This window comes from Homo sapiens, chromosome 15, assembly GCF_000001405.40.
Source record: "Homo sapiens chromosome 15, GRCh38.p14 Primary Assembly".
Taxonomy (NCBI): domain Eukaryota; kingdom Metazoa; phylum Chordata; class Mammalia; order Primates; family Hominidae; genus Homo; species Homo sapiens.
In genome coordinates, this window is record NC_000015.10 from 91,192,350 (window position 1) to 91,207,102 (window position 14,753).

Sequence of the window (14,753 nt, forward strand, 5' to 3'; positions counted from 1 at the left end):
GAATTCAGTTCCTCTCTAGGATTTCTGTTCCTTTCTCTAACTCTTTGTCAATAGGACTTCTTGAGTCTAGTGTTTCTGTCCTGAGGTCTGAGGTCAGTCTTGGAAGTGACTTTGGCCTCTTTAAACTTCAGGTTCCTCATGTGTAAAATGAGATAATATCAATATGGGTTTCACAAGGGATGTGATGAGAAATCAGTGAAGTAGTGTGTGAAACAATGTGACATTCTTGATGTGTTTATGAACAACAGTCTCTGAGTTGCTCCTAATATGGCTTTAAAATGGCTAACATAATTCTTCCCTTTAAAAAAGGATGGAGAAGAAAAGGGGAAGGCAGGTGACATTTTCTTTTATTTCACAAGGTAAAGGGAATTCACTCCAATTTTTCCCATTTTACAAAATCACAGAGTTTTGCTCGTAGTGGACAGATGAATGACTTTCAGTAACTTCTTTTTACGATGCAGACCTTAGGGACTGACACGTGACTCATAGCTTGAAACCAAGCTGTGCTATTTTTCCAGGCACCTGCTGTGCAGGCTCCTGAGGCTGGCCTGGATGGATGCAGTACATTGGCTTGGGCAGTTCAAACCAGTCATTTGCAGGCTGTGGCTGCTCTCATACTATGGATTATTTTTCCAATGTTTCCTCTCTGAAATGAAAAAAAGAGACACAAATCTATCTACTCATTTGTTTTCTGTCTGTTAATCCACAGTGGTCCCTTCGACTCAGTTCAGCATTTGTCTCTTGGGCATCTATCTTTGTTTGCTCAATATTGTTCCCGGTTCAGCTCTTGGAAGTCAATGAGTCAGGGATTCAGGAGAGGTGAGCCTGAGATGGCAGCAAGACGTAAGGGAGCCCCTGCAAGTGCCGCAGGAGGAGAAGGAGACGGCCTGCTTAGGGGATGTTTACCACACCTGCCTGTTGCTCCAGCACATAGTAGTACGTCAACAGTTGTTGAAAAATGTACCTGTTGGCCGACGTTGGCCTGTGTGGTCAGCCTCTTACTTCCAGTGAAGCAGTGTTAACTTTGCTTTGCCCTGACATTGCCCAAGTTGGATATTTAAAAAAAAACAAAAACAAAAACAAAATCAGAGCCAGGGAACCCCCTTTGGGTGATCCAGACCGTCTGTGCTTCCTTCTCTTTCTTGGAGCAGAGCAGATGGTGACTTCACTTGCCAGACCTAATCGAGAGGCAGATCTCAGAGTGGGCCCCCACCATGCATTTTAAAAAATTTGAAGGCCTTTGAAGACATCCAAGTATGTGAGAGAAGCACAAGGACATTCTGCCATTCTGAAAGCAGCTTTCATCTTCTCAAAGTTGTCTCATATTCTCATTCTAGAAAGCACTCAGCTTTCATATCTGTCCATTTATATTAACATGAGGACTAATTTTCAAGTGAAGTGCTTATAAAATAAGCACAAAAGAGATCACTGGAATGGACTTAAATGATATAAATATGTTTATTGTCTCAGGGACAGCAGTCCAGAAAAAGTTTATATTATTTTTTCCTACATATTCCATCATGTTTTGGTATGCCAAATCTAAGTTGTAACCATAAAGGCTCAACGTTTTTATCCTCTTTTTGTAGGGCAAATGTGGAAATTGCAAACCTGTTTCTGTTTGCTAGGTAATCACCAGGGTATAGAGGTTTTTTTTGTTTGTTTGTTTGTTTGTTTTTAATAGGAACCTGGCCAGGGCACTGGGATGATGGGTTCGATGGTCAGGGAGGAGGGAATTGAATTTATGCAGCATCAGCTGGGATCAGTCAAGGGCAGCTGTGATTAGTGTCCTAGGGGACCTAGAGAGAAGAAGACAGTATTTCAGCTGAGCAGAAAGAGTAGGACAAGCAGAGAAGCAGGGAGCTCTGGCTCAGTGACTTGAGGGGTGATGGGTAGAGCATTGGGCATAGCATAACATGTAGCTTCTCCCTCGGCTCTGCCCTGTAAAGGTGTGACTTTGGGCCAGCCTGCTCATGCCTCTGGACCTCAGGAGCTTTATTTCCTTTCAGATAATGTTAGAATTATGCCTTTGGGCATAATTGGGTTGCTTCCAGTTTGGAGCAATGATGAATCAAGCTACTGTGAACATTCTTGTGTATGTCTTTTGGTGGCCATACGCACTCTTTTCTCTTGAGTGAATACCCAGGAGTGGATTTGCAGAGTCTTAGATATACGTATGTTTAGATTATCTCGTCCTCTCTCTGAAACTTTCTGGAAAATTGTAGAAATGAATTTCTGATAAATTCAGATGAAGTGCCTTGGGGCTGTGGAGAATGCGTTAGACAAGGATTCATTCATTCAGGAAACCCATCAGGGATGCAGGCATGAAGGAGAGAAATTCGTTACTCTGGGACAACTCACTGACTTCAACGGAGGTTGCATCTTTGGGTTTAGGTCCTGATGCTGTTACTCCTTGTGGTGGGCTGTACTACTTGATGTCCCCCTCTGTGGAAGGATCATGGAGGATTCTTCTTCCCCGGCTGAATTCAAGTGTGGCAGTGTGGCTAGGGTTGACCAATGAAGTGAATGTGAAACGGCCTGTGTCTATGTGGTTGTGTCTAAGAATCAGCACATAGTTTGTCACGTCCTCATTTCCTCGGCCATGATGACTGGCAATATTCAGGATCAGAATGAAGATGAAGGCATGGAGCAGGGCCTGGGAGGCCCACAGTGGATATATAGCCCAAAGGAGAAACAAACTCTTACTTGTTTTAAGTCACTGACATAGGGGCTTCTTGTTACCACAGCATAACCTAGCCTGCCCTGGCTGATTCAGTAACTACTAGCCATGGATCTCTGAGCATGTCATGTAAACTATTGTTTTTTTTTGAGATGGGGTCCCCCTCTGTTACCCAGGCTGGGGTGCAGTGGTGGAATCTTGGCTCACTGCAGCCTTGACCTCCCAGGCTCAAGCGATTCTCCCACCTCAGCCTCCCGATTATGTGGGACCACAGGCACACACCACCATGCCCAGCTAATTTTTTGTAACTGTTTGTAGAGACAAGGTATCACTGTGTTGCCCACACTGGTCTTGAACTTCTGGCCTCAAGTGATCACCCCACCTCAGCCTCCCAAAGTGCTGGGATTACAGTTGTGAGCCACTGTGCCTAGCTACATAAATTATTTGACCCATAGCTACGTAACTTATAAAATGGGGAGATGAGCATTTTACCTGGGTTGATGCAACTTCCTAGGGTTGTTGCGAGGAATAAGCAACACATTGTGAAATTGCTTTGAAAATGAAGCTTGGTTTCTATTATGGCAGCATGGTGTAACCTAATTAATGAGTGGCTGAAGGTTCAGGCTCTAGGGTTAAGCAGCTGAGCCATTTACTCAGCGTGTGATTTTGGGTACATTACTTAAACCCTCTAAGTTCCCTCAATGCCAAAATGTAAATAGTGGTAGTATCCACCTTATAGGTTGGTGAGCCAGTTAGATATGCAAAAGTACAGCTAACATAGCACAGAGCCTGACACATAGCAAGTCCTACATGAAGCTTGCCTGGCATAATTGCCATCAGTGTGTTGTTATTACTATCTATGTACATTTTTCATCAGCATCAGGATGAGAGAACCTAGGGAAAGGCTGAGGTTCTGCAATTCTATTCTACTGCAACTAGAACAAAATATGTCTATTTCTTTAAAAAAATTCTGCAGGCAGGAAAAATGTCCATACAAGGTAAAGTGTTTAAGTGCTTTAGGCTTTGTTTATAATAATTTATTAAAGATTGGCTGCTAAAAGAGTCTTCTTTCAAAAATAAATCAATAGCTCACACAGGCCAAGATGCTGAAATCCTCTTCTTCTTGCTAGAAATTAGTCATGGAAGAAAATCACATTTGATGTGTTTGCGGAACATTTATTCACTCCACTATGCTCAGGGCAAGGCACGGGGATATAATAATTTATGAAAACAACAAGGTTCTCTGTGTCTAGAGGGCGAGAGGGGCTCATGTCTACACAATTAAAATAAGATGCTGTTAAGTGCTACTGCATTGCAGAGTTACATGGAAAAGGTGACAGGAACATAAATGTAGGAGTGATGTATTATGTCTACATGGGTCCTGGCCAAGGCCTTGGAGAGGAAGTGACATCTGAATTAGATTTTATAGGCTAATTGGACACCCCTTGGATATGCAGGGCCCAGCACTATGAAGGGAAGGCAGAGACTGGGAGGCCGGTTGTGGGATATGGCTGGATATAAGATGGAAAGAGTGGCTGAGCTGGTTGGAAGGGCCCTTGACGCCATGTTAGGAAATCCGACCTTGATTCTTCAGGCAAGATTAAAGGCAGGTGGATTCAGCACATAATGCCCTGGATAAACACCCAAAGACAGAAAGGAAGAAAAATCAACAATTATGAATTATCCTCTACTTATATGTGAAGCAAATTTTTTGCTTGCTGAACAGGATGTGCCTACATAGGTTTGTTGGGGTGAAATTGCAGTAAAATGAGTGATAGCCCTTTGGGCCTGCTAATGAGTAAAAGTGTCACTGTGAGGTGAGCCTAAAGGGGAGGGCTGAGGTTCTCGCCAAGCAGGGAGATCAGGCAGGTGATAATCATGATGGCTGCTGTTCACATGGTGCCAGCAAGATGCTGGGACCTGTGACAGACACTTCACAAACAGCACTGCTGCAGGGGGAAGTTTATACCCACTTCCAGGGCCACGGGGATTTTGCTCCTCTGTTGCTCCGCCTGCCGGCTGTGGCAGCCTTTAGCCCATAGATGCTGATCTTTGATGTCAGAAAGACCTGTCTGCCCTGTTTCAGATGTGAGGCTGGCCTTATCAAATTACCGTACTTCTCAGAGAATCAATACCCATTAACAAAAAGAAATGCTGTGATCATTGTTTTGTTTTTGTGTTTTTTTTGTTTTTTGTTTTGTTTTGTTTTGTTTTGTTTTGAGACAGAGTTTCATTCTCGTTGCCCAGGCTGGAGTGCAATGGCATGATCTCAGCTCACCGCAACCTCTGCTTCCTGGGTTCAAGCAATCCTCCTGCCTCAGCCTCCCGAGTAGCTGGGATTACAGGGGTCCGCCACCACACCTGTTTTTATATTTTTTGTAGAGATGGGGTTTCTCCATGTTGGTCAGGCTGGTCTCAAACTCCCGACTTCAGGTCATCCACCTGCCTCGGCCTCCCATAGTGCTGGGATTACAGGCGTGAGCCACCGCGCCCAGCCATCATTGTTTTTAATAGAAGAAAAAAAAAACCAAACCAAACCAAACAAAACAAAACAAAATCACTGTAAAGACAAGAATGGATAAGTAAGGAGAGTTATCCCTAGGAATACTATATAGCAGTTCAGCTACATTAATTACAACTCCATACATGTTACAGCAAAATCTCTAAAATATAATGTTGTGCTAAAAAGCAAGGATACTTGCTATATAAAGTTTAAAAAATATGCAGCCAGGCCCGGTGGCCCACGCCTGTAATCCCAGCACTTTGGGAGGCCGAGATGGGTGGATCACCTGAGGTCAGGAGTTCCAGATCAGCTTGGCCAACATGGTGAAAACCCATCTCTACAAAAAATACAAAAATTAGCCAGGCATGGTGGGGGACCCGTGTAATCCCAGCTACTTGGCAGGCTGAAGCAGGAGAATCTCTTGAACCTGGGAGGCTGGAGGTTACAGTGAACCGAGATCGTGCCATTACACTACAGCCTGGGCAACAGAGCGAGAGTCCGTCTCAAAACAAACAAACAAAAATACACAAAACCTATTTGATGAACACATTACTATGTAGGAAAATATAACTGGTGAATCTCTGGTGAGGAAAAGAAAGGAGCCAGATGAAAAAGTCTGCCCCGGTGCTTCAATTTTTATCTGTAGTGTTTCCTTTGTTTTGAGAGCAAAAGGCCGAGGAAGCCAATGTTAAGATTAGATAAAGCTGGGCAGTGAGCTCACGGTGGTTCATTATGTCAATCACTTTCTCTTCAAATTTCTGTATTTGAAATATTTCTCAATATACTAACATTTTAAAAGAAAATGCTTTCATCAAGGCACCAAGGCCTATTAAAACAAAGCCATTACCTTCGGCACTGAACGGATTTTTCTCATTGCTTTTTCTTCTCAGTGACAGCTTTTGGTTTTCAGCCAAGAAGCACGTGTATGTGTGTGTGTGTGTGTGTGTGTGTGTGTGTGTGTGTGTGTGTAGGTGTGTGTTTGGAGGTCTCCTGGAGGCAAATGAGCACATTTGTTAAAATGGAGTATTACGTTTGTACCAGAAACCTAAAAGCATATTTTATTTAAATGAGATGCAGAATATATTACCTTAATGAGTAAAAGGGTTTCTGCTTTGGATAACTGGGCCCAGGCCACAAAAAATGAGAAGGGGAATGGGAGGGGTAACCCTAGACGATACGGAGAAAGCAATAATCTGGCTGTGGTGCTCTTGCCCAGGGAGAATGGCTGGAGACCTTAATGATAATTGTTAAAGCTACGTGGAGAACTTGGCCTCGACCCAGAGTCCTGTTGCTGTATGCATGCAGCTGATCTGGGGGCAGGGCCGTAAACAACAGCAACTCTGGGCTTCTAGGAGATGCCTCTTTAGGACTGGCAGAATCTCCTGTGTGTGGTTTTGCATGCACATTTGAAATTCGAAACAGCATATTCAGTATTATCGAATATTATAAAATTTATTTTGAATATAAATACTTAAAACTTAAAAAGTCTACTCATTTATTTTTTAGAGATGGGGTATCCTTATGTTGCCCAGGCTGTACTGGAACTCCTAGGCTTGAACTCCTGGACTCAAGCAATCCTCCTGCCACAGTCTCCTGAGTAGATGGGATTCTAGGTGTGTGCTACAATGCCCAGCTCTATAAACACTTAAAAAAATCATGTAAACTATAGAGAGTAAACCTCAATAAGTCTTAGGGGAAGAATTTTTGGAACATACTGTTTGACTTTTGACTGTACCCGTCACTCTCTGGGGGAAGGATGGAAATTAGGGAGTGACCGGCAGTGAGGTTTGTGTAAGGGGGCAGACCCAGGTCTAACAGATAGAGTAACAATCCTCCAGGCCAGTGTGCTCCGGGGACCAGAATCTTGGTGGTGATAATGGGGGGACAGGTGGCAAACAACACGAGGTCTCCTTTCTCCCTGAGAGCCACCTGCCTGGAGTGGGAGAGAATGGGTCGTGGGTTTCTGTTTGTTAAATGCCGCTTTGCTAAAACACAGCGCCTCTGGGCAGATGTTAGGCCCTTGGGCATCTTGGGGCAGGGCAAATGCTTTGAGAATCCCAGTTGTGGGCAGTGGTGCTCCTTTGCATTTGTTCCCAGGCCTGTCGCCGTTGAAGCAGAATCACAGGTAGTAGGAGCTGAGAGGGACCATCAGGAGACTGAGGTTTCAGTGCCCAGGTGGGGTGGGGAAGCCAGGAAATGGAACAGAGGCTTAATGGAAATTTTTGGACGCACACAGCGGGGATGAGGACTTGGAGGGTTATTCTGGGCTGAAGGCTATTAATCTCAGGCCTGTGTGATGATGATGAGGCAGCAAACATACCGCTGTTGGGGCAGCGTGGCCACCTGGCTAGTTAAGTGCACTTCCCACAGCCTGGGGGCTGTGTGAGGCTGGGCCTGCAGGCTGAGGGTCTTCATATGGACTGCCCCGCAGAGAGGCAAGCTCCTACAGCTCAGGGCCTGGCTTTCTTCTGAACTATCTGTTACCACTGCTTAATACTTTCCATATTTATATAGCTAAGGTGCATTAAATGGTCCAGGAAATGTTTTGATCCCACATACATTCAAGCCTCTCCTATTGCATTCAAGCCTTTTCTATTCCTATTGTTCTGATATTTGATAATTTACCAAAAGGTAAGGTTTCCACTGAGGGAATCTGATGCTTTAATTTTGAGTTTGGTCTTTGTGGACCATTTCACTGAGATCAAGCAGGTTTGTTCTGCCAGAATGAGGTTTTTGACCTTTGAAATGTTATTTCTCCAGCAAAATTGCTAGGAACAGTAAGGTACAGAGAGTTTAGGGATATTGATCGGGCCATATGGCCTTGAAACATGTTCAAATATAATTAGAAGGGAGACAAATGCCATATCCCTGTTGATTACTTTTTGAATGCATTTACCTGGGGGATCAGAAAGGAAACTAGAGGGGTGTCCACTGGGGCTACTGAGTGGTGGCTGTAAAGAGTCTCAGTATGTCAATATGGGTCTTACATGGTTGTGGTCAGTGGTAGCAGACCTGGCCCAACTCAGTGAAGACAGGTGCATGAGAAGGTCAGATGGTGCTACTGGGGTTTATTCATTTTGAATAAATAAACTGAAAGCCGGCTTGGCACGGTGGCTCACAGCTGTAATTCCAACTTTGGGAGGCCAAGACAAGAGGTCCGCTTGAGTCCAGGAGTTTGATACCAGACGGGGCAGCATAGTGAGACCTCATCTCTATCAAAAATTAAAAAAAATTAGTCAGGCATGGTGGTGCATGCCTGTAGTTCCAGCTCCTCAGGAGCCTGAGGTGGGAGGAAGGCTTGAGCCCAAGAGTTCAAGACTGCAGTGAGCCATGATCGTGCCTCTGCACTCCAGCCTCGGTGATGGAGAACCTGTCTCTGAAAAAAGAAAAAGAAAAGAAAACAAAACAAAACTGAAAGCTATTCTCCATCTCTTTGTACACATCCTGGATTTCACAGTATCTGAAAGGATTAATACATGTGTCATAAGATAACCATTTTATGTTTGGCTTTTGCTGCATTATTGGCTATACTTTCAGTAAAATGGACATGCTATTCCCTTTATCTTGAATGTTCCCCCACCCTCTCAACTTCCTTGGCCACCTGACTCCCTCCTTTCAAACTCAAGCTTGGGTTTTGTCTTCTCTGGGAAGCAAGTGTCCAGTCCAGTGAATCACACCCTTTTTGGGTGCCTCTTTGTACTATGTACAAATCCTCAAGTGTTACATCCGTTGGGAACCTCATTGGAATTTTAAAATACTAAAATGGTGCTGATTGCATGGGAGCCACTGTTCTAGATACTTTTACATGTATTTACTCATTTAAGCCTCATAACGACCTGATAAGGTCAGTACAGATGTTCTCCCTACATCACAGATGAGAATGATGAAGCCCAGAGAAGTACAGTGTCTTTCCCAAGGTCACATAGTTAATAGCGTCAGAGCTGAGACTCAACTCTGGGTAGCCTGGCTGTAGAATCTCTTTTCATAAGCCGTGTGCAGTGCCATTTCTCCCTGAACTCTGTTGCCTGTAATAGCTAACTTCCATGACTCCCTATCTCCTGATCCCACCCTGTCTTCAGCCAAAGCTGCTCTTCCCACAGGCCTTTTCATCTCAGTTCATGGCAAATCCATCCTTCCAACTGCTCAGGCCCCAAATCTGGGAGTCACCCTTGACTTTTCCTTTGTTGCTATCACATCTTTTATCGGATCCATCTGCAAATCCAGATAGCTCTACCTGCAGCATAGATCTGACAGTTTCCACCACTCCCATCCCTAACCATCTTGGTCTAAGCCACTGCCATGTATGGCCTGGGTTATAACAAGAGACTCCTATTTGGGCTCCCTGCCTCTTTCCTTGTGCCTAGCCTCCCACTCCCCAACCCCATCAAATCTATTCTCAACATAGCAGCCAGGTGATCCTTTTAAGATTTGCCAGAGCATGCCACCTCTGTTCAGTATCTTTCACTGTTTCTGACTTTGTGCTTGCCCCCTTTACTCAACGTAGTCTTTCTTCAAATATCTGCATGGCTCACTCCCTGCTTCTTTCTCTTCTTTACTCAAATGTCACCTATCATGAGATCTCTCCTCACTTCCCCACATAAAATAGCCCCATCCCTGCCCCCGTCGCCTCTGGTCTTCCCTAACCTGCTTAAATTTCTGCCTAGCACTCATATGAGATATGCATTTACTTGTTTATTTGTATATTTCCTGCCCTCTCTCCACTAGAAGGTTAGCTCTATGAGGTCAGGGACTTTGTGTTCTTTGTCCACTACTGTTTCTGCAGTGCTAAGAATAGTGCTTAGCACATAGTAGGTGCTCAGTAAATATTTGAAGAATCAATGAAAACCATTAATGAATGAGTTGAATACTCACTCTGTATTAGTCACTATTATGTTTATTTACCAACATTGTGTCTTCTTATTTTCACAAGATCTCCTAAGACCACCTGGGTGTCTTGGGAAAAATGATTGATCTCTGTTTAGCCTCAGTTTCTTTATCTGTAAAATGAAGATAATAATACTTACCTCTAAGAGTAAATACCTATAAAAAGCTGAGAACAGTGGCTGGCACATGGTACCTGTGCTACCTGGGTTCCCTGGGAAGCAGAGGGAGATTAGCACACTGGATTAATGCTCTGGGGATCAACACCTGTGTGTGGGGGTGGGGTGGTGATGAAAGAAACAGGACTGGCCAGAGAGAGAAGTGGGGCTACAGTCTCAACACTCCAGGGAGTGCTGAAGCTGGAAAGGTTGTAGAGTTGGCCTGAGTTGGGTCAATGGGCCTGGCCTTTTTATCCCCACAGTAATTAGTCATTGGCTTCAGGCTGCTCTGGGAAGAGGTGTGATCTTGGGTAAGGCAAACCCTCTCTTTACTCTCAGGCAATCCCTAGGAAGGACTGACTACCACTCACACTCCCAGCAGCTGGGGAGTGAGGGCTCCAGCCCTAAGGGTGTGTTTGTGGGGCTGGGTAGATATCACAGTAGCCACCAGAGTAAACTTTTTGTAAATGCTTAGGATGACAGTCTTATTACTGCATTATTTAATCCAGCAGTTAGGTGCCTGCCTAAGAACCTCTAGTGAGTCTAGTGCCCATTGAATACAGAACAAATGCCATCCTTTGAGAGTCTTTGCTTTCCTGTAAAGATTTAGGATTGGACTTGAGCTACAAGCCTTTCTCCTTGAGGACTTCCCCAGGTAGGGGCCTGGCCTGGCTGTCCAACTGCATAGTCACCCCTGAGGTGTCCACAGGTTCTATGCCATCCCCTGTGGTCAAGGTGATTCAGAACCAAATGGGGCAAGCCTTTGGAACAGTCGAGGTCAGCAGGCATGAGCCTGGTACCGTTGAAATGAAAAGGCAGGGATTCCCTCTCCACCTGGAATCCTACCATTAGAATCCTGTTATGTATTGAAGCATTTTAAAAAGCATCAAGAATGTTCTATTTAAATGCAAATAACTGTAAAAGTTAACAGCTTAAGCCTTTGTGATGAAATGCCTTTATATCTTTATTCAAACACTATTAAGTTTCTATTTTAAAGTTTTCTAAATGTGGCAATCTTGTTACGGTTTAGCTTGGGTTTCATCTGCTTCGAGTGAAAATAAAAATAATCTGGATTCCTTCATCTGGGCATTTTCTTTGAGAAGAATGGAGGGTACAGTAGAAAAAGCTCTGGAATATGGAGACCTGGAGTCCAGTGTGAGGTCTGTCCTAACAAACGGGGGACTTTTGTCAAGTTCCTGCGTGTTAAATCTGTAAACAAAAGACCATGAGATCTGTGGAGGAAGGGAGAGCTACTGTCTCTCTCTCTCTCCTCCCCTCTCCCCCTCTCTCCCTCTCTCTCTCTGCACAGCCTTTAGTACAAGTTAAAGTGCTTTCAGAAGACCAAAGGGAGAAAATCTGGCTTAAATAGGAAACCTTCTTGCCTAGGTTCTCAATCAGGTCCATTTATGCAAATGAAGGATTCAAACTTGTTCAGTTCTGATCAGTCGAAATAATTGAGCCCTGGTTGGGTGGTTTCCAGGCCCCAAAAGAGAAGTCTCTGTCAGATATTTCTTTCAAACTGCTAGTGGGCTGGGGATGGGAGGCTTCCAACTGCAGTTTACCCTGGCTCTGGTAGGGCGTGCGGGACTGCTCCCTCTGACCCTGCTATGTCCACCCGGTTCGCTTTTAAATTTAGAGCATCTCTGTTAGCCACAGGGAGTCTATCTGGTCTGGAGAGCTTGGGGTCTTAATTTACAGTTTTATTTTACAAATCCAAATTAATTAAAATTTAACTCAGTTCCTTGGTTGCACTAGTCACATTTCAAGTTGTCAATAGCCAACTGCGGCTAGTGCTACTGTAATAGGCAGTGTAGGAACTTCTACTAGATAGCACATGAAGATGATGCCTTTATTTCTTTGTTTAGAATAAAATTTAACCCACATTTGTAATGAGTTGAGAGTTGATAATAGTAGGTAGTTTTTTTTTGAGATTTACACACATCCACCAGTGCTTATCTGGCCACTTATTTCTTTTCTTCTTCTTCTTCTTTTTTTTTTTTTTTTTTGAGACAGAATCTCATTCTGTTGTCTATACTAGAGCATAGTGGCTCGGTCACAGCTCACTGTAGCCTTGAACCTCCTGGGCTCAAGTGATCCTCCCACCTCAGCCTCCTGAGTAGCTGAGACTACAGACATGAGTCACCATGCCCGGCTAATTTTTAAATTTTTTGTAGAGATGAAGTCTTGCTATGTTGTCCAGACTGGTCTCAACCTCCTGGGCCAAGTAATCCGCTCACCTCGCCTCCCAAAGTGCTGGGATTACAGGTGTGAGCCAATGCACCTGGCCCACGTACTTTCTTCTATTTCTTACCACCACCTTGTGAGCTAATTTTTACAGATGGGAAAACTGAGACTGAGAGAGCGTAGAAAACAGGTTGAAAGACCTAACTTGCATGAGGTCTTTGCTTGCATTCAAATCCAGGTTGATCTGATGCTGAAGCCTGAGCTGCTGTTTTTGTTTTCTGAAATAAGCATGTGTTAAAAGATTACAGACTCACTGTTATTTAGAAAGAAGTTTATCCATCCTTATTTCTGCTGCTGTTTTTCCTCTTTTGTCTCATTTTCTTCTAGAAAGCTTTGTTGACTTGGTAAAATGCACGTGATTCCTTTCTCTAGTGTCAACCTAAAATAACCAAAAAGCTCAGGATCCAGTTAAAAGAGTTTATTCAAGCGTGAAGTGTGAGGGCCGACATCAGGGAAGCAGAGCTACACCAAAGAATGGTGATCAGTGCTCCCAGTGTGGGGAAAAATGAGGACCATTTATCTAGGCAAAAATGGAGGTGCTGAATAGGATAACATTTCTTTTTTTTTTTTTTAAACACAGGGTCTCACTCTGTTGCCCAGGCTGGAGTACAGTGGTGATCTCGGTACACTGCAGCCTCTGCCTCCTGAGTTCAAGTGATTTTCCTGCCTCAGCCACCTGAGTAGCTGGGATTACAGGTGTGCACCACCATGCCCGGCTAATATTTGTATTTTTAGTAGAGATGGGGTTTCATCATGTTGGCCAGACTGGTCTCGAACTCTTGATATCAAGTGATCCACCCACCTCGGCCTCCCAAAGTGCTTGGATTACAGGTGTGAGCCACCACGCCCTGCCCAGGATAACAACATTTTCATACAAAGTCTAATGTAGATGTAAGATTTGATTGGCTACTATTGGTTATACTCTAAAGGGATTGCTTAACATTTTATTGCAAAGAGTCAAAAATCAGAAGGGTGTCTATCTCCAATATCATTTAGTCTAGGTTTGAATAAAGAATAGAGAGTTCAGTTAATGTATAAAATCTCAACCCAAAGGTCAGAAAGCAGCAGTCACGCACTGGAGGAGAAAAACAGCTGTGTTAGGTGAGTCAGTTTCCAGGGCTTAACTTTTCCCCTTGGCATGATACATATGGGAGGTCCTGAAATTTTAATATCTTTTTACACCAGAAACAACTACTGTTTTTGTTGTTGTGGTGGTGGTGGTTGTGGGTGGTTGTTTGTTTTTGAGACAGGGTCTTCCTCTGTTGCCCTGGCTGGAGTACAGTGGTGCAATCCTAGCTCACTGCTGCCTTGAAATCCTGGGCTCAAGCAATCCTCCTGCCTCACCCTTCTGAGTAGCTGGGACTACAGGCACATGCCACCATGCCTGGCTTTTTTTTTTTTTTTTTTTTTTCAGATACAGGTTCTCTTTGTGTAGCCCAGGCTGTTCTTGAACTCCTGGGCTCAAGTGATCCACCTGCCTTGGCCTCCCAAAGTGCTGGGATTACAGGCGTGAGCCACCGTGCCCAGCCGATGACTACTGTATTTAGTTAAGGAAGCTCCCCCTTCCAGCAGGTTCTCCATGTATACAGCCATGTGTATGGCATTGTCATACATGGGTGATGTGCTCATCCACATGGGGCTGCTCTTCAGAGGCCTGACTGTGGTTTCTATTTTGAATTTCAGTTCAGTAAAAGTCAGAAACCTCTTCAGGAATTTCTTTGGATTAGAATCAGATTAAAAACTTGCAGTTTGCTTGGGATTTGAGGAAGCCCATCCATCTGGGGAGGTTGTGGGCAATGCCTGCTTGGAAGCTAATAGTCATAAAAATGTTTTGAATGAGTGGGGTTTGGGGTGGGTGTCCATTAAAAGGATAATGGAGTTATCTTCTGGTTTGTTAGCTGGTATACTCATAGGATATAAATGTTCGACCTAGTACCTGTTATGTTTTCCCTTGACTTGATTATATTATATGACATAAAAGAGCATATTTAAATTTCAGGTGTTTAGGAGGGGAAATGTGTCCCCTGATCAACAGAGAAGTTTGAAGGCTGATGTTCGATGTTAGGATCTTTTATTTGGACACATCATCCCAAATAGAAAAGCAGATTGATGCAACCCTAAGTATATGCATTTTCCAGAGAGGCTTGAGAGAGTGAGAAGGGAGAGTTTTGGTTGAGACTGAGGGCAAGATGAAAGATGTGAAATGGGATTGTGAGCAATTTCCTTTAAAAAAATTTTTTTTTTGAGTCACCCAGGCTGGAGTGCAGAAGCATGAGATCCTAGCTCTCAC

General features: G+C 44.0%; 1 protein-coding gene across 14 annotated transcripts in view; it reads left to right on the top strand.

Annotated features, from left to right (window-relative positions):
* The window catches only part of SV2B (synaptic vesicle glycoprotein 2B), a 202,978-nt gene that overhangs the window by 92,762 nt on the left and 95,463 nt on the right, over positions 1–14,753 (top strand). Inside the window, exon 1 of one of the 14 annotated variants that reach the window (XM_017022762.2) lies at positions 13,044–13,294. The exons of 12 other annotated variants lie outside the window; for them this stretch is intronic. The gene's annotated coding sequence lies outside the window, so the exon portion shown is untranslated. Of the gene's footprint in view, positions 1–13,043; positions 13,295–14,753 lie in introns of those variants that run through there. One more of the 14 variants, XM_017022761.2, reaches the window with a different exon arrangement.